Source organism: Homo sapiens, chromosome 8 (genome assembly GCF_000001405.40).
Source record: "Homo sapiens chromosome 8, GRCh38.p14 Primary Assembly".
Lineage (NCBI taxonomy): Eukaryota > Metazoa > Chordata > Mammalia > Primates > Hominidae > Homo > Homo sapiens.
Window position 1 is genome coordinate 17,490,399 of NC_000008.11, and position 26,621 is coordinate 17,517,019.

The 26,621-nt window shown below is 41.4% G+C and overlaps 1 protein-coding gene across 10 annotated transcripts in view; it reads left to right on the forward strand.

Moving 5' to 3' along the window:
- The window catches only part of SLC7A2 (solute carrier family 7 member 2), a 76,498-nt gene continuing 53,547 nt past the window's right edge, over positions 3,671-26,621 (forward strand). For 2 of the 10 annotated variants that reach the window (NM_001370338.1, NM_001370337.1), the window contains exons 1-2: positions 6,690-6,839; positions 11,859-11,904. The gene's annotated coding sequence lies outside the window, so the exon portion shown is untranslated. Of the gene's footprint in view, positions 3,770-3,919; positions 4,100-6,689; positions 6,840-10,915; positions 10,984-11,858; positions 11,905-26,621 lie in introns of those variants that run through there. The other 8 variants (XM_005273612.5, XM_047422115.1, NM_001008539.4 and 5 more) reach the window with 6 other exon arrangements.

The window sequence follows — 26,621 nt, forward strand, 5'->3', positions numbered from 1 at the left end:
ATTTTTTTGCTCAAAATCATAAATTTAGTTAAGTTAGCATCCAGTAGGATTAATTTTTTTTATTATACTACACATTTATATGAAATCATATCTGTTTATTTTATAATCTCTTCTCCAGCATTGAATCTTAGGAAAGAGCAAAACAAAAACCTAAGCAGAACTGGAGTGCCCTCCAGGTGAGGCCAGGATCTTCTTCAGGTTTAGCCTGGCTGTAAGAGCTCAGTCTCCCCATTTCCAGGTGACTTAGTCCATTTAGCATTGCTGTAACAGAATACCTGAGACTGGGTGATTCATAAAGAAAAGAGGTGTATTTGGCTTGTGATTCTGGTGGCTGGAAAGTTCAAAGCTAGACAGCTGCATCTGAGGAAGGCCTCAGTTGCTTCCGCTCATGGTGGAAAGTGAAAGATGAGTGGTGTATGCAAAGAGATCACATGGCGAGGGAGGAAATGAGAGAGATTGTGGAAGCCAGACTCTTTAACAACCTGCTCTTGCTTTCACAGGAACTAATCCATTCCCACAGAGTGAGAACTCACTTACTCCTGCATGAGCATCTATTCATGAGGAATCTGCCCTGCCCTGTGACCCAAACATCTCCCATCAGGCACCAACTCCCAACACTACACATTAGGGGTCAGATTTCAACATGAGTTTTGGCTGGGCCAAACTATATCCAAACCATAGCACCAGGTAAAAGCACAAAAGAGCAAGTTTCCTCTAAAGCTTCTGGAGAAAATGCACAGTTACCCTGCACAGTGTAGTTTAATTGGATAGTTAAGACTAGAGGACAAGCCCCATCAGATCCAGCAGTTTCAATTCTTCTGTATAATTGAGGAAGAACCCCAGATGTTCTTCTGACTGAGTAAGCTAGCATTGACTTGTTATAAAGAAGCTGGTGGACCAGACTATCATTAAAATGGACTTTGCCTTTTTGTCTGGGTCACAAAAGGGAAAAAAGGCTGCTTAATTTGCTGAAGGGCATCAATTAGTGCCAATCCAAACATAAAAATAAAACAGGTGGAACTTTTAAAAACATACTCTCTGAAGCACTCATACATTAGGACACTTTACTAACTCATAAAGCATTTTAAAGGATGCGTTGGGTGAGACTGAGCCAGACAATTAAAGACATCAAAGTCATGCTGGACAATGTTAATCAAGTTTAGCCTAAAGCTGTCTCCTTACATATTTAAGTTCAGCCTAAAGGTTTTTCTGTACATTGTGAACTATAATAAGTAGAGGTGTAAACTGCCTGTAGCCCACACATGTGCCAGTCACTGAGTTTTGGCCAATCAAATGTAGCCAACTGTTCTAACGGTGTTCAAAAGGTGTTCAAATAAGGCAAACGCCAACCTGTAACCAATCCAGCTGTTTCTGTCCCTCACTTCCGATTTCTGTACATCATTTCCTGTTTTTTGGGTTTTTTTTTTTTTTTTTTGTCTATAAACCTTCTTCCACCACATGGCTCTGCTGGAATCTCTCTAAATCTGCTGTGATTCTGGGGGCTGCCTGATTCTTGAATTGTTCCTCGTTCAATTAAGCTCCTTTAAATTTATTTTGGCTAAAGTTTTTCCTTTAAAAGCAAGAAACCAGTAGTCCTTCCTCCTTTTCCCCCACTACCAGAGGGTAATTTTACTTGTCATTGTTTGAGCTCAATGAATTTAATGTTCTGATGTGGCTTCAGAGAAGCCCTGGAGGGCGCTAAACAGTAACATTTTCACATGAGTACAACAGTACCTCCCCTCCCTTACCCACGGTTTAGCTTTCTGTGTTTTCAGTTATCCACAGTAAATCATAGTTATTTTTGTTAATATCAGGTATTTTGAGAGAGTCACCATATTCGTGTAACTTTCATTAGAGTATATTGTTATAATTATTCTATTTTATCATTAGTTATTGTTGTTATCTCTTACTGTGTCTAGTTTATAAATTAAACTTTATCACAGTACGTATGCATAGAAAAAAAATTGTACATATAGGGTTTGGTACTATCCGTGATTTCAGGCATCCACTGAGGGTCTTGGAACATATACCCCCCCGCGGATAAAAGGGGATTACCCCCTTACCCCCTCCTTTTTTTTTTTTTAGAGGCGGAGTCTCTCTCTTTCGCCCAGGCTGGAGTGCAGTGGCACGTTCTCTGTCGTTCTCTGCCCCAGCATGATGAGTGGTTTCTAATTTTTTTCTTTTGTAGAAAAGGAGGTAAAAATTACTCTCTCAGCCGGGTATGGAGGCTCACGCCTGTAATCCCAGCACTTTGGGAGGCCGAGGCGGGCAGATCACGAGGTCAGGAGATCGAGACCATCCTGGCTAACACGGTGAAACCCTGTCTGTACTAAAAATACAAAAAATTAGCCGGACGTGGTGGCCCGTGCCTGTAATACCAGCTATTCGGGAGGCTGAGACAGGAGAATCGCTTGAACCCAGGAGGCAGAGATTGCAGTGAGTTGAGAGTGCACCACTGCACTCCAGCCTGGGTGACAGAATGAGACTCCGTCTCAAAAAAAAAAAAAAAAAAAAAAGCATAACAACCTAGATTGTGAAGATTGATGGAGTTAAGAATGATTCAATAATTTAATCTTAAGAGTGCCTTAGTTAGCAAGCAAGACAAAAGGTTATTCAGGATAGTAGGAGGAAAACTAAGAGACCGTGGAAGCCAAGGAGGAGATAGTTTCGAGAAAGAAAGAAAGCAGGAGCGAGTTTGAGGCACAAGAGAACTGCGAAAGGTCCATTGCATATGATTAGGAAGAGATTTCTGGAGCAATTAGGACCCTCATCAAGGTTAAAGAAAAGAGAGGATTTAGATTATCTGAGCTCCCTCCTAAATCCCTGGTTTTCAGTCCTTAGAGCAACAGGCTAACTGATGTTTAGATTAAGAAAACTGACTTTTTCCAGCAGATAAGAGGCCCAGCAGGAATCCTGGCAGAAGGAATTAGAGACTAGCACGGGGCGGGTGGAGCTCAGGGCCATTCCTGATGAATGGCCAATGTAAAGAAACCCCAGAAAGACACCAAGTGACAGGAGGCAGGGAAATTTGTAGGAAGAGCAATGTAGAATGAAAATCATTGCAAAACGGTGATTTGGTCTTAGTTGAAAGACAAGTAGAAGAAGATGAATTTGAAAGACGACTTGTCATTTATATGGACTTGTTGTATTTTTTTTCCAACCATTTTTTCAATATTTTGTTGCTTGCCTTAAGGGATGGGCAGATATGGACTCTGTCCAGTGGAAAGTCACCTCTAGGTTTTTACACATTTTTGAAAGGCGAGTGGAGAACAGCGGTGGCCTGAAAGCTCTTAAAACTAGTGCTCTGGGTCGGGGCGGTGGCTCACGCCTTTAATCCCAGCACTTTGGGAGGTCGAGGTGGGCGGGATCACCTGACGTCAGGAGTTTGAGACCAGCCTGGGCAACGTGGTAAAACCCCGTCTCTACTGAAAATACAAAAAAATTAGCCAGGCGTGGTGGTGAGCGCCTGTAATCTCAGCTACTCCGGAGGCTGAGGCAGGAGAATCGCTTGAATCCGGGAGGCAGAGGTTGCTGTGATCTGAGATCGTGCCCTTGCACTCCAGCCTGGTGACAGAGGGAAACTCCGTCTCAAAAAACAAACAAATAGCTAGTGCTCTGACTCTGGTCCAACTCTTTTTCCCTTTTGAGTTGATTCAGTGACAGCACAAGCATTAGTATCCAGTATCCAACCATCTGAAAAAAATTGGAGGATTTTAGCTTGTCTTCGCTAAAATAGTTTGGGGAATAATAGAGTCACAAATTAGAACTAGTAAGAATCCATTCCTTCAGTCTTGCTAGTTGAAGTAAATCCCTTATTTGTGGACATGAGATTTACTTTAGGTTGTATTTGGCAAGTGTGGGAGTACAGGGTGTGGAATTTATTCAGCTACAAAAGTCCCTTAAAATTCCCCGCAATTTCATAAACCCTTAAGAGTTCAGACATGCAAGAATGTTTGTGAAATCTTTGGAAGATGACAACCTAGGCTACTCTCTCTGCTGAAAATGACTAAGTTGGATTTTCTGCTTCATTCCTAAGGAGGAAACTTGACGGCTGAAAGTGAAAAGTGATGGCAATAAACCAGGGAGCGTGAAATAGAAGGTGGGTGCAAATTTTACTCAACTGGGAAAAAGATGCTAATTCAACCCCGGGCAGCAAGAGAAAATGCAAATGAAGATGAAGTCAAAAGAGCTTAACCTGTTTCAAATATTTCATTTCTAAAAATTCGATTCTATTTTCTCTTGTCTCATAGTCTGTCTTAAGAGACTCATACTAAATCCGTGGGCATCCTATTCTTTCCTCATCTAAACACATTTTTAAAGGTGAGAAATAACCAAAGTTATGAGGCAGGATTCAGGGTTAATCAATAATTTCAAACACGAAATGGAATATGTTAAGTCAAGAACTAGTGTGTAAAGATATTCAGCAATCTTGTTAGAAAGTTGTTTGAAAGAATTTGCTCTTTTTTTGCTTAGAGATGAAGTTGTTGTTCTTATTCACACACATGAACACAGCACGTTCTTGCTTCAGGAAGTGCGCCGGCGGGCAGATTGGATAAATTCAAAGATCGGTATTCTGACAAAATTGGCAGTTTCCAAATTCCAGATAAATTTGTTTATCCCAAATCATTGTGTTGTAACTTAATCACAAATTAAACAGATTTAAACACAGAGCCTTTAAGTAAAAATATGTGGGGAAATAATTGCTTAAGTTTAAAAATAGGAATCTCTATTTTTTTATTTTTTCTTTCTTTATTTTAATCAATGTTGACCAGGTTGGCCTCGAACGTGTAGCCTCGCCTCCTCGAGTGCCAGGGCAACCGCCCTGAGCCACCGCGACTCCCAGGAATCTCTATTTTTTTTAAACCAGGTGAAAAATGTTAGACCAGATTACTCACCCTTAAAAATTAGACAAAGTATCTGAGTCATCGCTCCCTTGAACAACGCCTCCTAGCCGTGGGATTGAGGAGGAATCTGGTGTTAAAAGTCCACACGCATCATTTCCCTTAATGTTATTAATGATAATTTGCATAAGGAATCTTTTTTTGACTGTAAAAATAAGTTTACTTTGACAGTCTCTATTACTTAAGACATTTGGTCTATCAGATAATATCTTCGTAATCATAGTGCTGTTTAAACTTTCAGTTTTTTTGTTCGTTTGCTTTTGTTTTTGAGACGGAATCTCACTCTGTCGCCCAGGCTGGACTGTAGTGGCACTATCTCGGCTCACTGCAACCTCCGCCTCCTGGGCTCAAGCGATTCTCCTGCCTCAACCTCCCGAGTAGCTGGGGTTACAGGCGCCCGCCGCCGCGCCCGGCTAATTTTTGTATTTTTAGTAGAGACGGAGTTTCACCCTGTTGGCCAGACTGGTCTCGAACTCCTGACCTCAGGTGATCGGCGCGCCTCGGCGTCCCAAAGTGCTGGGATTACAGGCGTGAGCCACCACCCCCAGCCTACACTTTCACTTTTTGATGAAATCCATGGATGGCTTCCTGAGATACATTGAGATTTTGTGTGTGTGCTATCTTCTGGAATGAAGCCCCACACCGTTTATTAGATGATCTTGGGGATATATGTCTTGAAGGGAAGAATGATTTAGAATATCACATTAAAATTGTATATGTACTGTGAGGCAGCAATACAAATCTGGCACTTTGCCAAAGTTATTACTAGTAGGTGGGTTAAAGGGACGTTTACTCCAATACTATGCAAAGTAAAGTGGACCTTTCTGTCAAACAAAAATAGTAATAGGCCGGGCATGGTGGCTCAAGCCTGTAATTCTCAGCCTGGTGGCTCAAGCCTGTAGTTGTCAGCACTTTGGGAGGCTGAGGCGGGAGGATAGCTTGAGCCCAGGAGGTCGAGGCTGCAGTGAGCCACGATTGTGTCACTGCCCTCCAGCCTGGGCGACAGAGTGAGACCCTGTCTCTAAAGACAAACCACACACACATATACACACACACACTGACACACACTTATTGTTCAATTCAGTGCGTGTTTTGCTTCGTTTTGGATGAAAATTAACAGGCTTTCACATTGTGACTTAATCTTATCAGAGACTCCTAAAGTAAACAATAGCGCAGTAGGAGAAACCCTGATTGTGTAACTTCTGCTCTTGCTCCCCTGGAAATAATGTCATTTCCTATAAACCCACCCCCAAACAATCGTGACTACGTATTCATACCACTGGAGTCTTCCAAAATAGCAACTGCACATTATTTATCAACGTTTAGTTTGCATTTGACAAAGCACATCCACCTGGGCTTCCATTTATCATTGCTATTATTATATTTTATTATTATTTTCTTATTTCCAAAATCTTTGTAGAATGGAAAGTAAACGGGGGGACCAAAACCCCACTTAGAACTCTGCTTAGAAGATTCGGAAATGCCCTTGAGGTTTGGTCCTCCCAGGAGAGCACGAAGTTTATCCTCGCGCGCAGCCTCTCTTCCCCGGCCCGCGCCCACCGGCCTAGCCCGGGGCTAGCGCCCGCCCACGTGTGCTCGGCTCCAGGCAAACCCCGCTGAGCAGCGGCCGCACACCGCCCACCCCGGGGATTGGTCAGCGCGGCCGGGGCCCGGCGGGAGGCGGGCTCGGGGTCGCGTTCCGGGAGCGCGGAGGAGGCGGTGCCGCCCGGCCCCGCGCCCCGCCCCCGCCCCGGGTGGCTACACAGAGGGGCGCCCACGTGCCCAGCCCTCCTTCTGCAGCGCGGCCGGCGGGCGCTCCTCTTCGCGGGACCAGCGAGGCGGCGGCCGCTGCTCCAGCGTCCCCCAGCCGCGGGCCCCCGACGCGCTGCAGCCGGCAGCCCACCGCCGCCTTCTTGGCGCGACCCCAACCCAGCCCCAGTAAGTTGCTAGGTCTCCAGCCCCGCCGAGAGGCCGCGGGCGAGGGGCAGCCCGGACGCTGGGGCCGGCGGGGAAGGAGCGGGGCGAGGGCGCCCTGGGGCCGGCGGGGAACTAGAGGGTCGAGGGCTCCCGGGGACGAGTCCAGCTGCGCGCAGCTGCCCTGAGGCCGCGCTCCAGCGAGTCTTCGTCAGGGAGTCGGGGCCGTGGGCTGGGGCTGAAGCCGTGGACCTTCGTCCTCGGGGCTGCGCCCCGGAATGCGCCTCGCCTCGTCCGGTCCCTGTGCAGCCGGCTCTGCCCGGGGACTTCGGGGACCGCTGGAACTGGGAGAGGGGCTGGCACGGCGACTTCGCGGGGACCCTTCAGTCACTATTTCCAGAGGAGCTCGGCGCACCCCTCTCCGGGTGGGCAGGCTGAACCTCCTGGCCCTGCACGCTGCCGGGGTCCCCGAAGCCGCCTTCGCTCCTTTTCGGTTCTTGGCTTAAATTAGAAAGCCGGCTTGGAGCGCTGGAAGCCCCTTCACATTCTGCAGGGGACCTGGTAAAATAGCCCGTCTTGGTGTTTGTATTGGGTATTTTAAAGTAACTGGGTGCCTTTTAAAATCCGTTTGAGATGGGCTGTATTTTATAAGCCCGTTTCATGAAACGCTGTTCTTGAGGCTTAGAGAATCTCCCAACCCATCACCCCAGAGTACCTGTCCGTTCAGAAAGTACCTTTTCATCCTCTTTTGACGCTTACATCCAGTCTATGGAGTAAGGTATTGAGAGATTGTCATCTTCAACTCGTCGAAAAGAAATATGCTCAGCAAAAGCCACAATCATATGTGGCTTTTGAAGTGGATATAGTGCCTGGATTTCAAGAGAAAAAGTACTCAGCCTCTTCAGAGTTGTAAATATTTGTGCAAAACTGGCTAAAGCCTTTAGGTGACTAATTTTGGACCAGTAATAAGATTTATCTAGACGTTTGTGCAGAAACACTAATCCTTTTAATGAGAGGATATCGTCAGATCTTATTCAAATAAGAGCTCTCTGAATCCCATCCAGGGCCGCCTGGGTTATAAAATTAGAATGTATGTGGCCTTGACTTGATACTTTTTCATTCTTGCCTGAGCTAGTCTTTAAAAGTTAATAATTATCTCCTCCGGAAGGTGAAACATTCTGTGTTTGTAATCTTTCTCTAGGAGATGTATAAGATGTGAATATTCTGTATTATGTACCTTGTTAGGATTGCTTTGTAATTAGTAAATCCTTTTTTATTTTAATTGCACTGAAGCGTGACATGAAATGATCTCTCAGTGCAGAACACAGGACTTCTTCCCTCTCCTTTTCCTACAAAGTTGCTAGTTGCCTGCTCTGGGAGGCCACTTTATTGTGATTTTTCAAGTTTCTTCCCTCGGCCCACACTTTGTTTACATTCTGTGCCTTCATCTGGGAATGGTCATTTACCTTAAGGCATTTTAATCTTTTAGGGTGTGCCATGGCCTTGGAGACCAGAGTAAAGCGCTGTGGTATCTGCGGGGATCAGTTTGCAGAATCCTTGGCCTCCTAAGCAGTGGGCATAGCTCTTTTCATTCCAGAATCTCTGATCATTCCAGAGTCTCTCCTGTCACTGGGCTTAGGAGCCTGGGAAGGCGAATAGAAGCTAGCTGGGGAGACAGGGGAGCTGTGGCAGTTTAAAAAGCCTGATCTTGCGCTGGAGTTTTTCATCTTGCATTCTCATGTATCTTTGCCTTTTGAACACATGTGCCTGAAGAATTTTAAAGTTCACGTTTCTTGCTTTGCACTGCAAGCACACTCACCTTTGCAGAGTGGAAGTGCCTTGTCCCCATTCTAGGTGGTCTACCTTCTGTTCTCTTTTCAGACCTCCTGGCTTAAGCCCTTGTTTCTCCTGGCTGTTATGGCCAGACCCGGAGTCCCCGTTGTGCCCATTTCTTCTCTTTTCAGTCCTTCCTTTTCAAATGTTTTTTCCCAGAAGTCCTCTGGCAACTTCTCTATTTCACCTAGCCTCTGTCTTCTCTTGTTTTATTTTTCCCTCTCTCCCTCCCTCTCTATCCCTCTTTCCCCCTCTTTCCCTCCTTCTCCCTCCTTTCTCTCTTCCTCTCTCTCTGTCTCTCTCTCTCTCTCCCCCTCTCTCCCTCATTTCTCTCTCCCTCTCTCTGTCCCTCTTCCCTCCATTCTCTCTCCCCCCTTCTCTCTCTGTGTGTTCAGAGCCATCTGCTGGTTTTACTTTGGTGCCCTTTGGTGGACAACTTTCAGAACAGAATCTTGGGAGCACCTTCATGTTGCTGTTTGCTTTATTTCCCCCAAACATGTAGATATGAACACACTGATTTTAAAGACTCTTATAGACTACCTACTAGATGCCAAACATTTAGAACAAAAGCAAAAGCTTTCAGTGGAATATATTTCTAAATACTCACATATTTAGTTTTGGGTGCATCATTTGAATGCTTTGTCATCCAAATGAATCCTGAAAAACTTAGTTAACTAAGATTTCACTTAAGTGATAGCACTTGTCTAAATGGGCTTGAAAATCGAAGCTGTTAATTAATTTCTAAAACTTTAATCTGGATATTAAAAACCATATAGATACAACCTTGAATGACAACAGAAAACTAATGGAATTGTTCTTGTCATTGTCTTCCATTTTAATAACTTTTCATTTTAGTACCTAATATAGTATGTGTCACATAACACATGCTTATATGTCTTTATTGTTGAGTGAATGCCACTGATTTCAACAGTTTGAGAAAAGATGTTTTATCTGTCTTCAAATGTATTTATTCCTTCATTGAAAACTTACTTTCTACTCTGTACACTGGAAAATCAAAAAAGTAATGTGTAACTCCGGTTTTAGAGGGATTCTATAATTATGTTTACATTTGGGGAACTCCATTGATGGATTTTAAGAGCAGTTTTTTATTTTGCTGTACTCTATTAAAAAATACCACCACTTCTAAGCAGACGATTTCAGACCTGTCTGTGCCGCAAAGCAAGTAATTTACATGCTCTCTCTAATACATGAAGGCGATGCTACTATTTCATCATCAAAATCACATGTGCTGGACATTTTTATTTTACTAGTAGTAACAAATTTGTCCGCATTCCTCTTATATTTCCCTTTTACTTGACTTTCTAGCTCTTGTTTTAGAAGTGGTGTTTGTGGTTATGGAAATGTTGTGGATGATATTGACAAAACGCAGCCAAATCGGGCAGATCACTTGAGGCCAGAAGTTCAAGACCAGCCTGGCCAACATGGTGAAACCCCGTCTCTACTAAAAATATAAAAATTGGGTTAATAGGTGCAGCAAACCACCATGGCACATGTATACCTATGTAACAAACCTGTGTGTTCTGCCCATGTATCCCAGAACTTAAAGTAAAATAAAAAATAAAAATACAAAAATTAGCCAGGTTTGGTGGCAGGTGCCTGTAATCCCAGCTGCTTGGGAAGCTGAGGCAGGAGAATTGCTTGAATCTGGGAGGTGGAGGTTTCGGTGAGCCGAGATCGTGCCACTGCACTCCAGCCTGGGTGACTGAGCGAGACTCTGTCTCAACACACACATACACACACACACACACACACACACACACACACACACACACACACAGAATCCCAGCCAAGTAGGAGTTCATTTCCATCAGGCTTCAATTAGTTAAGGTAATCACAGCATGAATCACCTATTAATTTTTCTTGTCCATCTTAGTAATGGAAACTGTTATATATCAGTCTATGGAAGCAAGCAGTATGCTGTTGCTTTTCACATTCTTATCGACTTTTTTTTTTTTTTCTGTTTTGAGACAGAGTCTCGTTCTGACGCCCAGGCTAGAGTGCAGTGGTGCGACCTTGGCTCACTGCAACTTTCACCTCGTGGGTTCAAGCAGTTCTCATGCCTCAGCCTCCCGAGTAGCTGGGATTACAGGCGTGTGCCACCATGTTCGGCTACTTTTTGTAATTTTAGTATAGATGGGGTTTCACCATGTTGCCCAGGTTGGTCTCGAAATCCTGGCCTCAAGTGATCCGCCTGCCTCGGCTTTCCAAAGTCCTGGGATTACAGGCCTGAGCCACTGTGCTCGGCCTCTTATGGACTCTTAAAGTTTAAATATTTCTGAGAAAGGCCTCTGCTGCTGTTACGCTGACCTCACTGGTAAGTATAATTAGTATTGACTTGAGAGAAGATTTGAGTTAATAAGGCTATTTTAGAGGCTGGATTTGAATATGTGGGTCACGTCTCTTATTTAGACTTTTAGTATTATTTAGACTTTTATTTAGACTTTTAGTATGAATCTCTCTCTTCAGAGACATGTGGTCCCCTGTTATTCTGGGTGTGTATGGATGTGATGTGTTGTGGAAAATCTTGAAATTTCTTGATACGGGACTTTATACACCCAAGACTGAATCATGAAGCTGGAGCATTCTAGTGCTGCAAATGTCATGAATTTAATTTTTCACCGTATCCCCATCCTCCTGCAAAACATAAAATATAAAATATGTAAAATGAGATAAAAAAATGAAAGCAATACCCACACACCCATTCTGGCACTGCTGCGTACTAGCCCCCCTCTACAGAACTGAGCCTAATCTGGGATTCAGTATCGGGAAGGCGAGTGATGCGAGAACATTCCATGACCTTTGTAACAGGAGCTTAAAAAAAAAAAAAAAGTCCCAACTGTGTTATATTCATTTTTGGAATATTTGGTGAACAATACACAACAAAGAATTTGTATGTCCCTTGTTGATTCTTACTAGTTTTTCCCACAGTTGTGGGGAAAATTCTCTTCTTTCCTTAACCCATTTTGGCTTCATCAAGTCCTCCTAAGTCGTCCTACAATTATATATATATATGTATTCCCACCATATGTATATATAATTATATATATACGTATATATATGTATGGTGGGAGTATATCTGTGGCTAAGGTGAGAGGATCGCTTGAGTCTGGGAGGTGGAGGTTTGAAAAAAAAAGAATGGAGAAATCACATGAGTCCTTTAGTTATCACTCCCATCATTGCTTCTCCCAGCAGGAGACTCTCTGAAGACCAGCAGGAAAGCAGTGAGCCCTTACAGGTTAGTGCTGATTTCAATCTTGGCTTGCACGTTGGAATGGAAAAAGGACTGATAAAAAAAAAATGTTGACAGTGGAAAGATTTGTGCCTATTCCATATTAGAGAGGGAAGAGTTCTTCTGTTAGAAGGGAACACATTCAGTTTAGTGTCCTACCATTGGCCTAGTAGAAGAAAAAAATATTTTAAAAGAATCTTTACTGGACTTCAATTCCTATAAGATATTGCTCTTCCATTGCACAAGGAAGATTTCCATGAAGTTACGGAGTTGAGTATCACTGATTCACTTTCCAGGTTCCTGGTTCTTGTGAATGTACCTTTTAGAAAATTTTTGATAATCATTCCTGAGAGGTTGGGTGGAGGGGGTTTTGGACAAGAAATTGATTCACAGTTTTTAGTCTACTCAGGCAGATTATTTAAAGGAATCCTGGAATGAGTCCATTTTTCCTAGGGGAATCACTTCACAAGGTTTTTGTTCAATGGACCTCAGGTGCTCCAAATTCTTTAATCATAATTCTTCACGGCACACTGCTATAATACCATGATTGGTTCTTACATGGGCAGTAAATAGTATTCATTTTAGGTCTTGGGTTGGGTGCTGGGTGCATGTTCATTATATTATTATTTAAAAATATTATATAAGTTAATAAAATTTTAAATGAACTTTCCATAAGTCAATTCGTAAATAAAATTTTCACAAATTTCTTCTGTGTGTTTTTGCTTCAAGTAGAAAACATCTCTATTTCTATTTATTTTATTTTATTTTTTTTGAGACAGAGTCTCACTCTGTCACCCAGGCTGGAGTGCAGTGGCGCGATCTCGGCTCGCTGCAAGCTCCGCCTCCCGGGTTCACGCCATTCTCCTGCCTCAGCCTCCCGAGTAGCTGGGACTACAGGCGCCCGCCACCACGCCCGGCTAATTTTTTGTATTTCTAGTAGAGACGGGGTTTCACCGCGTTAGCCAGGGTGGTCTCGATCTCCTGACCTCATGATCTGCCCGCCTCGGCCTCCCAAAGTGCTGGGATTACAGGTGTGAGCCACCGCGCCCGGCTGAAAACATCTTTATTGAAAAAAATTTTATGCTTCAGAAGGGTGGCTTTTTCTTTAGATCGCGAGTTTTTTCCTTCCTGAAATTCACTTTATATTCACTCCCGCGGTGTTCCTTATCTGTTCTAGCAAAGAGTACTTATTATTCATACGCGGCGCTCATAGTTCGCAGAATATTTGCAGCTTGCCAAGGTACTTGTCCTGACAAAAATTCAAATGGCAACTCTTCATGATAATTTGTATCAAAGAGTACTTATTATTCATACGCGGCGCTCATAGTTCGCAGAATATTTGCAACTTGCCAAGGTACTTGTCCTGACAAAAATTCAAATGGAAACTCTTCATGATAATTTGTATCAATGTGGGTATGAATTCCTGTGGGAAAAGCCTGAGCTCAAAGCTTTAGGCTACTCTGTATGGACTTTTTGTTTAATGATCATATGAAACAATACAATTTTATATTTATGTTTGAATTCACCAGCAAGTTTTAAGTGGTTTCTTTAATTCAGTTGTGATTTAAGCAATTGTTTGGGAGACGTCTTTGCTCTTGAGTTCTGGGGAAACCTAGAAGGAGCCTGGGGTGAGTTTTGACCCTCCATCCTTAAGTCCTCAGCAACACTCAGGTGTGTTTTGGCCACATGAGGAATTTACCTTTGTTCCACAGCAGCCTATGGCAAGAAAGTGAAGTCACATTGGCTGTGATTCCCCAAGCAAAGTGAGATTTCGATTTCAACTCAGAGGCCTGGCGTTTTGCATTGATCTGGACCTTTGTGAAGGCATTGGTAGAAGAATAACAAACTACTAAGAATTCAGTTTATTGATCATCCTGAAACAAAATGGCACTGCTGAGTGTTTAGTGAGCCTCAGTGAGGAGTAAGTATTGGGCACCAGCTGTGTGCCCTCTGAGAATGTGCCAAGTGCTTAGTGAGATTGAGGCCGGTGGTAAATGAGATCTTGTGGCTCTCCTGGACCACTGGTCAGTTTCTTATGGAGTTCAGTGTCTAGGGGATTGAAACCCTTACCTTTCAATTAGTTGCACTTTAAATTATTTCATACTTTAAAGTCTTGTATTGCAGTGATATTTTTAAATGTTTATGTAATTCTAATTGGCGGAGCCCATACTTGATAGAATTGCCAGTGGTTCTTATTATGGGATAAAATTGAGGTCATTTTGAGTGACCAAAGTAACAATTAATTCTATCCGGTTTATCAATTGTATTTCTATATGCATTCCTTAGAGAACCCATATATGTTCTCAGTTACTCTTCTACCACATCGTCTTCTCTTTGGCTTTCATCTTTATTACCAACTTTTATTAATACATTTGGAGAAGTTAAAGGTCATACTCTTTTTAGGTAGAATTGTATAATATTTACAACTTAAGCGCCATACTGTTTGAGCAGTCTCTGAAATTTTACTGCAACTCTTAAAAGATTGAGTAACTGACTCAAACAGGAGAACTAAAGAAATTCAGGTCCAGAAAAAGAAAAGATTGCGTGACTTTTACAGTTTTTTCTAATGAAAGGCATTTGCATGAATGGTTCCCATAGTTCCCTGATACACAGAGAAGGAGCTCCTCCTCCTTTACTCCGATCTGCTGGCCATTCTGTTTACATTCGTGCCTCTGTGGGAAAGAAGAACTCTAAGATCATAGCAGCTGTTCTGTGCAGCAGTGGCTCCCTTGATGTTTTAGGGGAGTTAAGGAAATTAAGTGATGGAAGCATGTACCACCCCCCACCCCCCCGCCGCCCACCCGATCCCATCCAGTTCACTTCCCTGTAAAAAAGAATGCACATCTGTATGTAAACTGTGCCTCTTCCCTCTGGCAATTTTGTGTAAGATTTCTGGAAGGTCAAGACTTCCCACATTCCAACCAGTGGGCAACTAGGGTTTCAGAAACCCAAGATAAGAACCTTGGAATGCAGAAACCATTTCAACTTCTCGAAGAAATATCTTAGGAGAGAATCCTGTGAGCAGGATGGGGCCTTCTTGGTCATGCATCCTTTCCTCTTGCTGAAGAAGACCGCTTATGGCCTCCAAGTTGGGGCTGAGAACTGGCCCAGAGGTAGATGTGGCAGTTGGGGTCACTCTGAGTCACAGAGGTATGACAGTAACATAGCAATGACCCTTCTCAACTAGTGCCATGGTGGATGCTGTTCCCTGGCCTCAAGGGTATACTTGACTTCAGTGATCTCCAGCCTCGCCATCTTTCTTTCCTCCAGATTCTTAGACTCGTAGATTTCAATGTCTTCCTATGGGCCAGAAACAAATTTACTTGAGTTTTGGCTGAGATAATTTAAACTGAGTATTTGTAAATGTCTGACATAAACAGAAAAAAAATGGGTAAGCATAGTCAGTGCCCTCTTTTCTTATCTAAAATTGGAGCATCTTTAGTGTGACATTTGAAATCTAATCTTGCCAGTTCAATGTCAGTCTGATACGGATATTCTTGTAGAAATCTCTGAGATTTAATAAACTTACAGTTGAGTAGAACTGAATCATACTAAAGACCAGTGGAAGCATCCTTGCAGGGCCTTATCAGTTTTTACAATGTAAAATAACTAACCCATAGCGTTTCCTTTTACAGTTAATGTTTGTTTAATAACATGCTTAAGGTATAATATTGAGACGAAGTGAGGAATTTTAATGCTGATTTAGCTACTGAAAAATTATCTCTTGCAACACTTGCTTTACTTGTAGTTAGGATTTGTAATGTTTTATTGCAAAAGAAAGCCCTCTTTTAAATGCGTTGCATTTGTGGCATAGTGGTTGTGTAGGTGGAGTAGGACTTGTGTCTGTACAATTCATCAAGAACATAGCACAGAGCACTTTTACATGCCATTCAGAGACAATAGTGGGTGTTGATAAAATTTGTAGTACTAGAGCTGTGAAAACAAGTGCTGGGCTGGTGCCTGCTTTAAACTCTCTTGAAACTTAGCAGAATTTCATTTTTATAACAAAAATCACTATTTTCTTTAAAGAGGATTGATAACATGAATAAGTCTAGGTGTCCTGGAAATTCATTTGGTTATATCACTATAAAAATGGTGAGACACTGTTGTGGTAGTTGGTTTTGTATTTTAAAGCGTAAACTTCACAGTACATTTAAAACTGTCCTGTGCGAAATTTCAGAGGCTTTGGACACGTTCCTTTCTAGCCTCCCTCGCCGTGGACAGTTATCAAGTTTCTGGCACGGTGCTAGACGAATATGGAAGAGAAGTAAGTGCCTCAGAATGACATTTTAGAACGCTCTTTTTATAGGTTAAGAGACTGAGATCTTGAGAGGTGTAACTCATCTGAGGTTAGACAGCTAGGGATACAGTGAAGACTGGAGTCCAAGCATATTGAAAAGTCAGACCATTCTGTTTTTGTGAAAACAAATAATAATTACTAGAATGCACTACTTCTGTGGAATTTTTTTTTTTGAGACAGACTCTTGCTTTGTTGCCTGTCTGGAGTGCAGTGGCGCAATCTCGGCTCATGTGAGGTTAGACAGCTAGGGGTAGAGTGAAGACTAGAGTCCAAGCATGTTGAAAAATCAGACCATTCTGTTTTTGTGAAAACAAATAATAATTACTAGAATGCACTACTTATTTGTGGAATTTTTTTTTTTTTTTTTGAGGCAGACTCTCACTCTGTTGCCAGGCTGGAGTGCAATGGTGCAATCTTGGCTCACTGCAACCTCCACCTCCCAGGTTCAAGCGATTCCCCTGCCTCAGCCTCCCAGGTAGCTGGGACCATAGGCGGGCACCACCATGCCTGGCTAATTTTTTTTGTATTTTAGTAGAGATGGGGTTTTACTATGTTGGCCAGGATGGTCTTGATCTGCTGACCTTGTGATCCACCCGCTTCGGCCCCACAAAGTGCTGCGATTACAGGCGTGAGCCACTGTGTCTGGCCTATGTGGAATTTTTAAATTGGGGATCAGTACAATTACAACTTAACATTTTTAGATTTTAATGGTTAACTATAATTTATTATATAATTTTAAAAAGCTGGAAACTATTTAAATGTGTGTGTGTGTGTGCATTATTATTATTTTTGTGTGTGTGGAGACGGGGGTCTCACTGTGTTGCCCAGGCTGGTTTTGAACTCCTGGCCTCAAATGATCTTCTCGCCTTGGCCTCCCAAAGTGCAGGAATTATAGGCATAAGCCACTGTACCTGGCCTTTTTAAATTTTTTGAAGAAAGGATTTTGAACATCCACAATGCAAAGAGATGAAAAATATTTGAAGTGATGGATATGCAAATTACCCTTATTTGATCATTGCTTATAGTATATACATATTGAAATATTCTGTGTCCTATAAATATGTACAATTATTACATGTCAGTGAAAAAAGAAAAAATACAAATGAGTAAATTTTAAAAACTCTGTTAATTTAACAATAACATGTAATAGAAATATGCCCTAAAGATTTCATGATGAGCTATTAAATTATTTTTCAAAGAGATATTTGAAGCTGATGAAGTGCATTTAGAAATAAGTGTTACAGGAAGAGTGGAAAAGGAAGTTTTTAGATTTTGAAATTTCTTGGAAATTAATATATTTGGATAAGCTATTTTCGTAGAGTGACATTCTTATGATATGAACAAGTTTATTAAATGGCATACTTTTACCAGAAAATGGGAAAATATAGTCTTAATCTAAAAATAAAAAGACTTTTAAAGTCATTAGGGTTTCAACCTCATAAATGGTGCTTTTAAACAAGTATGTTCTGTTTGGAGTGCTATTGTGCTCTCTTTTTTTTTAAAAAAAAAAGCTATTTGAATTTTTTACTTTTTCTGATTATCATAGATAACAGATGGTTTGCACTTAGTTCAGTGAACCAAACAAAAAAAGAGCAGACTTGGCAGAAAATTCCTGTTGATAGTGCATTTTTTCTCTACTGAAATGGATCACATGAACTTTTTGAATAATGAATAACATATTTACATTATTCTGGTCTTTTTTGCTACAGAGTACAAGAGAAATGTGAAGGACAAACAACCTTATTGTTACTCTTATAAATTATGTAAAATATTTTTGTATTCTTCCTGCATTGCTAACTCTAGGTATTGTTGGATGCCCTGTCTACTTTTAAAAATGATCAATTGAGCCGGGCACAGTGGCTCATGCCTGTAATCCCAGCACTTTGGGAGGCCAAGGCAGGCAGATCACCTGAGATCAGGAGTTCAAGACCAGCCTGGCCAACATGGCGAAACCACATCTCTACTAAAAATACAAAAATTAGCTGGGTGTGGTGGTGGGCACCTGTAATCCTATCTGCTCAGGAGGCTGCGGTATGAGAATCATTTGAACCTGGGAGATGGAGGTTACAGTGAGGCGAGACCACTCCAGCCTGCGAGACAGAGCAAGACTCTGTCTCAAAAAAAATAAAAATAAAAATAAACAAATAATAAAAAAGATAAATTGGTCAAGTGGCTGAAGATTGAAAGCCTGATTTATCTCACCGAACCACTAGTAATGGTAGTATGTTAATATATTAGTTTTTATAAGGATTTTAAAAACCCTGAGGACCCACATTATTTCTCTCAGTTTTTGAAGTATTTAGTAGAGTTGAATTTTTATTTTTAATTTTGTTTTACTTTCAGTTGATTGATCGTTGCCGCCTTTTGGTGGTGAGCTCCTGTGGCGTGTGTTGGTGAAAGTTGGAGATGCTGGTGGTGTAAGGCAGGCGAATGATATTACTAAAGTGGAGGCAGCTCTAGGAGTGGGGACTGTAGACATCAGCTGTAGTTGTTGGTACCAACTGTAATTGAAAGTTCGAGTCATCTGTTTAAAGAATGGGCCTTTCCTTCATCATGTCATTTTAATGCATTGCATATTGGACCAGAGAAATCAGTAAAGTTGAACTATATAATCTGAAATCTAACTTTGTATCCATGAATCAGAATTCAGGCTATTTTCAAGAATTGGAAGAAAAGTGCTCATTTTATTGAACTAAGTATAATTTCCTTATTCTTCTTCTTCTTCTTTTGAGACAGAGTTTCGCTCTGTCGCCCGTTGGAGTGCAGTGGTGTGATCTTGGCTCATTGCAACCTCCGCCTCCCTGGTTCAAGAGATTCTTCTGCCTCACCCTCCCAAGTAGCTGGGTTTACAGGTGCCCACCACCACACCTGGCTAATTTTTGTATTTTTAGTAGAGACAGGGTTTCATCGTGATGGCTAGGCTGGTCCCGAACTCCTGACCTCAAGTAATCCACCCGCCTTGGCCTCCCAAAGTGCTGGGAAGACAGGCGGGAGCCACCACGCCCAACAATTTCTTTATTATTATTAAGTACAATAAAAAGAGAAACAAGAGTGCAATCATTTTTATTTTTATTTTTTCGCCTCCAACAAAGTGATGTATGCAGAACAATGTTTTATGGTAGAGAAAAGTAATCTTTTTCCAGTGTTCATTTCACTAAAACAGCTACTGAAATTATTTGCTGAATGGAATCTTCCACGTCTCTAAAGACATGATATGCAGTATGAATAGCTTTAGTAAATCATGAAATTCTGGGTTCGGAAGAAGCCTGTGTGTTTCATTTCAAGCAGAACTGTATCTACCTATTTTTCATTGGTATGTGCATTATGTAAGAGTGAATTGAAGCCCGGTACAGTGGCTCACGCCTGTAACCCCAGCACTTTGGGAGGCCAAGGCAGGTGGATCACTTGAGATCAGGAGTTTGAGACCAGCCTGAACAACATGATGAAACCACGTCTCTACTAAACGTACGAAAATTAGCCGGGCGTGATAGCAGGCGACTGTAATCCCAGCTACTTGGGGGGCCAAGGCAGGAGCATCGCTTGAACCTGGGAGGCAGAGGTTGCAGTGAGCCAAGATAGCACCGCTGCACTCCAGCCTGGGTGACAGAGCAAGACTCTGTCTCAAAATAAACAAATAATAATAATAATAATAATAATAAAAGAGTGAGCTGGCCTTTTTTTGTGTACGAAAGTATCTGCAGAAACGTCAAAATTGCCTAACTGATAACATAAATGACAATACTTATGTATTTAAAAACAGTAAAATGTTGAGAATATCTATAACTAGGAAAAAAAGCTGTAGAATTGGCACACTGTCGTCCACAATGGCTGAACTAATTTACATTCCCACCAACAGTGTAAAAGCGTTCCTATTTCTCCACAGCCTTGCCAGCATCTATTGTTTCTTGACTTGTTAATAGTCACCATTCTGACTGGTGTGATATGGTATCTCATTGTGGTTTTGATTTGCATTTCTCTAATGATCAGTGATGTTGAGCTTTTTATCATATGTTTGTTGGCTGCATGAATGTCTTCCTTTGATAAGTGTCTGTTCATATCTTTTGCCCGCTTTTTGATGGAAGACAGTGTGGCCATTCCTCAAGGATCTAGAGCCAGAAATGAAATACCATTTGGCCCAGCAGTCCCATCATGGGGTATATACCCAAAGGAATAGAAATCATTCTACTAGGAAAACACATCCAAACCCATGTTTATTGCAGCACTGTTTACAATAGCAAAGACATGGAACCAACCCAATGCTCATCAGTGAGAGACTGTATAAAGAAAATGTGCCACATATACACCATGGAATACTATGCAGCCATAAAAAGGAATGCGATCATATCCTTTGCAGGAACGTGGATGAAGCTGGAAGCCATCATCCTCAGCAAACTAATACAGGAACAGAAAACCAAACAGGACATGTTCTCACTCATAAGTCGGAGTTGAACAATGAGAACACTTGGATACGTGGAGGGGAATAACACACACTGGGGCCGGTTGAGGAGTTGGGGGCGAGGGGAGGGAGAGCATTAGCACAAATAGCTAATGCATGCGGAGCTTAAAACGTAGATGGCAGGTTGATAGGTGCAGCAAACCATGGCACACGTATACCTACGTAGCAAAGCTGCACATTCTGCACTTATATCCTGGAACTTAAAGTAAAATTAAAAAAAAAATCTATAGAAAAAAGTTAAGCATTTTCTCCTTAACTTCTTCATCCCTAGTCCTGCAGCGTTGATGTTTCCAGCACTTTTATTTCAGTGCCTAGGAAGAGGGAGGAGTTGTTAAAGAATCAGAAGAACCCTAAGTACTTTTCCTCTTTCTCAGTCGTTGGTTGTGTAGTCATTGTTTCACAAGTTTTTAAATGGAGCTAGGGAGGGCTCAGTGCTTGATTTGAATTAGACTAATACAGTTACTGGTTTTTGACATCCTGTTATTACATTTGTTGTACAAATTATTCACAGAATAGATAGAATTCAGTCAGTTCAGTTCTTATTCAAGTAATATAATCTATCGCTAAACCATTAAACATTATACATTAACATATTGACTATACTTTAAAAAAGCTACTGGCAGAAATAACTGAAGGTGACGTTTTTCAAGGATAATAATCATTTTATAATTACTGTTAGAAGCTAATAAACTGGGGGCTTTACAATTCTAAACAAAAACCTTCCCACTTGAAAAAATTTTCCATTTAAAATTTAGACTCTGAAAGTTAAAATTTAGAGGGCTGGAACCCATGCTAGGGCTGGCCACCAAAATTTATGTTCTTTCTATACCCCACCTCCTAACACACTGACACTATGGAACTATGTTGTGATTTCACAACATGATCTGTCGTTCTGTAAGAAAATAATCTCATTTGGAAATCTTTGGCGTACTTGGCTGAAGATAAATTCTAAAGTTTCCTTTTTCTTCTTTTAAGACATAGTTGTTCAGTGGCTATGGAATGCTTCTGGAGCACAGAACTTCTCTTTGTACTTAGGTAGAGACATACACAAAAAGGACATGGATGTCCTGTGAGCTCTTAGAACGTATATCGTATGTCAGGCTTTAATTCGTGTTTCTCTGTCTCTCTATGTGGAGTAGAGTAACAAAAGATATGGCTTTTTTTCAAGGCCCTGGAGACACACAGTCCAAAATCCATCATTAAAACAGAACCCTAGGCCAGGCACAGCTCACCCCTGTAATCCTAGCACTTTGGGAGGCCAAGGAGGGTGGATCACCTGAGGTCAGGAGTTTAAGACCAGCTTGACCAACATGGTGAAGCCCTATGTCTGCTAAAAATACAAAAATTAGCTGGGCATGGTGGCGCGTGTCTGTAATGCCAGCTACTTGGGAGGCTGAGGCAGGAGAATCGCTTGAACCAGGGAGGTGGAGATTGCACTGAGGCAAGATCGTGCTACTGCGCTCCAGCCTAGGTGACAGAGCGAGACTCCATCCCAAAACAAACAAACACATAGAACCCCAAGTGGAGTGGAGTGAAAAATATATAACCTTTCTTATCCCTCATGGTGGGTTTTTTTCCCCCTATATTTAAAATCGCAGTTAGTAGACATAACACAAAATTTACCATCTTAGCCAAGGGTTCAGTAGCATTAAATGCATTCACATCGTTGTACAACAGATTTCTAGAACTTTTTAATTTTGCAAAACTGAAACTCTGTACCGTTTAATCAGTTTCCCGTTTCCCCTTCCCTTCCGCCCTGGCCAACCACCATTCTACTTTCTGTCTCTGTGAATTTGACTGCTCTAGGAACTTTATACATGTGGAATCAGACAGTGTTTTGCCTTTTTGTGGCTGGATTATTTCACTGAACATGATGTTCTCGAGGTTCATCCGTGTTGCAGCATGTGTCAGAATTTCCGTCTATTTTAAGGCTGAATAATAGTCCATTGTATGTATAAAGCACATTTTATTAGTCCATTTCTCCATGATAGACACTTGGGTTGCTTCCACCGTTTTGTAGAATGCCTTTTGTGATTGCTTTCATGAACGATGCTGCTGTGAACGTGGCTGTGCAAATATCTCTTCAAGACCCTGCTTTCAGTTTTTTTGGTCATATAACCAGTAGTAGAATTGCTGGATCATATATTAATTCTGTTTTTAGTTTTTTGAGGAGCTGCCATATTGTTCCCCACAGCAGTGGCTATTTTACATTACCGTGGACACAAGGATCCCAATTTCTGCATATCCTCATCAATACATGTTATTTTCTGGGTTTTTTTTCTTTTTGTAGTAGTCATCCTAAGGGATACTGAAGTCTGAAGGGTTTTTATAATTATAAGTTTGCTCTAAACTGAAACAAAAACCAGAATCATCCACTTTTACCTCCATTCACACAAAAGGAAGTTTAAAACCTGCCTGGTTTGTTTCCATGATTTTAAAAGATAGAAAAAGTTCCATTTATTTTAAAAGAGAAGATTTTATTTTTCTCATTTCAGTAAAGCTTATCACAGGATCTCCATTGCCTTTATCTTTATCACTGTTGTGGTTCTCAGATTTGAGGTAGTTGTGATTCATAAAGTTGAACAAGTAGAATCTGCTGAGATGAGGCCTTAATTGATCATTTTTACAAGACATCATTTTTGGCAGAATCAAATGATAGTGAAGCTAGCCTAAGAAATAACTGTGGAATCTAAGAAGCGAGGCAAGGACATTTGACCAAGCAAAATTGACTTTTTGTCCCACTTACAACAGCGCTAAGAGGGAAAGTTTCGTTCATTCTCAGATTAAGTTATAGGTAAGTGGATTACACCAGAGCACATATTGCCAAAAACCTGTCATCCTGCTCAACATTTCTACCTCTAAAAAAGTAGCAATCAAGTTCTATTTATTCTGAGGATCAGTTATATTCTATATTCATGTGTATAATGGCAGGGATTTAAAAATAATCTGGGTAAATTTGAACTGCAAATAGCATGTAAATATCACTGACCCGTAATAGTCTTAGTTCTTCTCTACAAGGGTATATGGTCAGCCCTTATTGGGAGTAAAAACACCTCGGCACATTAGTGAGGCTTCCTTGACCCCACAGAGTCTCTCAGCAATTTCATCCCAATTCCCTGGATCCAGGTAAGTAACAGACATGAATGAAACAGGCTAGTGCAAAATAGAAAGGGGTGGTGGCAAACTGTGTTAAACCAAAGAGGAATCAATTAAAAAAAAAATACAGTGTGTCCCAAAACACGCATTTGAGTTGGGAGCAGTGATTGATCCAACATTTATAGAGAACCCTGCAGAGTCCCTGACATTGTGGGAAGAATAGAAGTAGAATGAGCCCAGAAAACCCGTGTTTTTATTTTAGATTTCTTTAAATACGTGAGAATACAATGGCATATAATGCAATATTTTCCCTTCTCAAAAATATATCTAGAAAGAAAGAGATGGGGAAATGCACAGCAGCCGTTGGTGGAGGTTGACCCTGGAAGCTAATTCTAGAATAACTTAAAAATGTAAGTTGTTCAGGTTTCCCTTTTATAGCTGTTCTGAGTAGCACAGAAACTCAATTTTGCTTGGTAGAAGGTCCTTGCCTTGCTTCTTAGATTCCACAGTCATTTCTTAGGCTAGCTTTACTATCATTTGATTCAGCCAAAGATGATGTCTTATAGAAATGTTCAATAAAGGCCTCATTCCTAAGCAGATTCTACTTGTTCAAGTTTATGAGTTACAACTACCTGAAGTCTCAGAATCATAGCAGTAATGAGCATAAAGGCAGTGGAGACCCTGTGATAAGTTTTACTGAAATGAGAAAGATAAAATCTTCTCTTAGTTTAGAATATGAATATTTCTGGTATTTGATACTGTTATTGTCTGGGCCAAGTGGATAAAACAGCGTTTCATTTCTGATCTTGTAGGAAATTGTTTTATGTAATGAGTACATACATGGGTAGAGCTATATTGGTAAAGGCAGTGCCTACTATGCTGAATTAAATATTCCATGCAAGGGTACCAGGAAAAGGGGAGGGACTTTATAGTTGCTAACACTGAAAAAAGATTTGTTGCATCAGATGAACCTTTAAACTTAAGAAACGTTTACCAACTCAATATTTATTTGATCTAAATAGTCAGTATGTAATGGTGTGATACACCCGGTACTTTTCCAAAGTCATCAATAATGAGGACATAGCTTGTGGTTTTTAATTTTTTAGTCCCTGTGAATTTATTTGATTGCCTTTGATTGCCACATCTTTTTCTTTTTTTTTTTTTTTAAGATGGAGTCTTGCCCTGTCTCCAGACTGGAGTGCAGTGTCGCAATCTCGGCTCACTGCAACCTCCACCTCCCAGGTTCAAGCGATTCTCCTGCCTCAGCCTCCTGAGTAGCTGGGATTACAGGCACATGCCACCACACCCAGCTAATTTTTGTATTTTTAGTAGAGATGGGGTTTCACCATGTTGGCCAGGATGGTTTTGATCTCCTGACCTCGTGATCTGCCTGCCTGACCTCCCATACTGCTGGGATTACAGGCGTGAGCCACTGTGCCCTGCCTGATTGCCATTTTTCTGAAGGATGGGGATGTTGAGTGGGGTGGCGGGTTTTTGGCAATGTGTGCTTTGCTGTAATGTACCTACCCATATCTGACTATTGGTTTATACAGTACAGAGAACCATGGGCTAAGCCTTACTTTTCAGCCACAAAATAAAAATCCTATCATTAAATCTTAGAATCTGAGTTGGCAGATAACCTTGTCTAATACCCTTCTAACTAAAACTGTTCCACAAAATTCCTCAATCAACTGTCCTCTGTTTTAAGTAATGACAGACATCTGATAGCTTTAGTGGTGGCAGCTTCTTATGGGTAGGAACACTTTTTATTAGGGAGATTTGCATTTTATTGGATCAATGCCTTACTCTTTTTATATGATATCCTTTATTAGTAGTTCTGTCTTCTGAAGTAAATACATAGGATCATTGCCTTCCTACATCTTGCCATTCATGTATTTAAAGAAAGTTATCATCTCTTTTCTATGTCTTTTTCCCTAAGAATGAAAAGAAACTAAATATAGCAATAATACCTATTCGTGATTCTAAAACTTTTTGCTATTTGTCAGACACTTTGCTTGTCCACTTACTCCTTACGATAGTTCTATAACTGTTTTATTTTATTTATTTAATTAATTAATTAATTAATTTTTTTTTTGAGATGGAATCTCGCTCTGTCGCCCAGGCTGGAGTGCAGTGGCAAGATCTCGGCTCACTGCAACCTCCGCCTTCCAGTCTCAAGCGATTATCCTGCCTCAGCCTCCCAAGTAGCTGGGATTACAGGTGCACCACCACACCCGGCTAATTTTTGTACTTTTAGCAGAGACAGGGTTTTGCCATGTTGGCCAGGCTGTTGTCAAGCTCCTGACCTCAGGTGATGCACCCACCTTGGCCACCCAAAGAGCTGGGATGACAGGCGTGAGCCACCGCACCTGGCCTATGTGTTGTCTGTTTTAAAGATGAGAAGACCGAGATGCCAGTGACTTGTCCAAAGACACATGGGTGGTAACTCGTAGAGATTATTAGCTAGCTCAGGGCTTCTTCCCTCTTTGGGCCACAGCTGTACCCTTGCTTATTGTACCTGAACACCTGCAGTTTCTTTCATTGCTCTTTAAGTGATGACATGGTCTCCCAGACCCCTCACCCCATCCAGTTGACTCTTCACTGAACTTAACTGGTCAGCACTTAAGAAAAAGATGGTTTAAGCATTCAAGAAAAACATGGATGCCAAGTATCCATTGATTCAGGAAATATTTGAGTATCTGCCATGTGCCAAGCACTCTAGGTATTTGGGATAAACCAGTGAACAGAGCAGTCAAACAAATCCCTGTCTTCATGCATGGTACACTGAGGGTTCATGTTGTGGCTTAGTCCCTGTCCCCACAATCAACACTGAAGAGGACTTTGAAATAGGGGACAGAAAAGTTGCAGAAG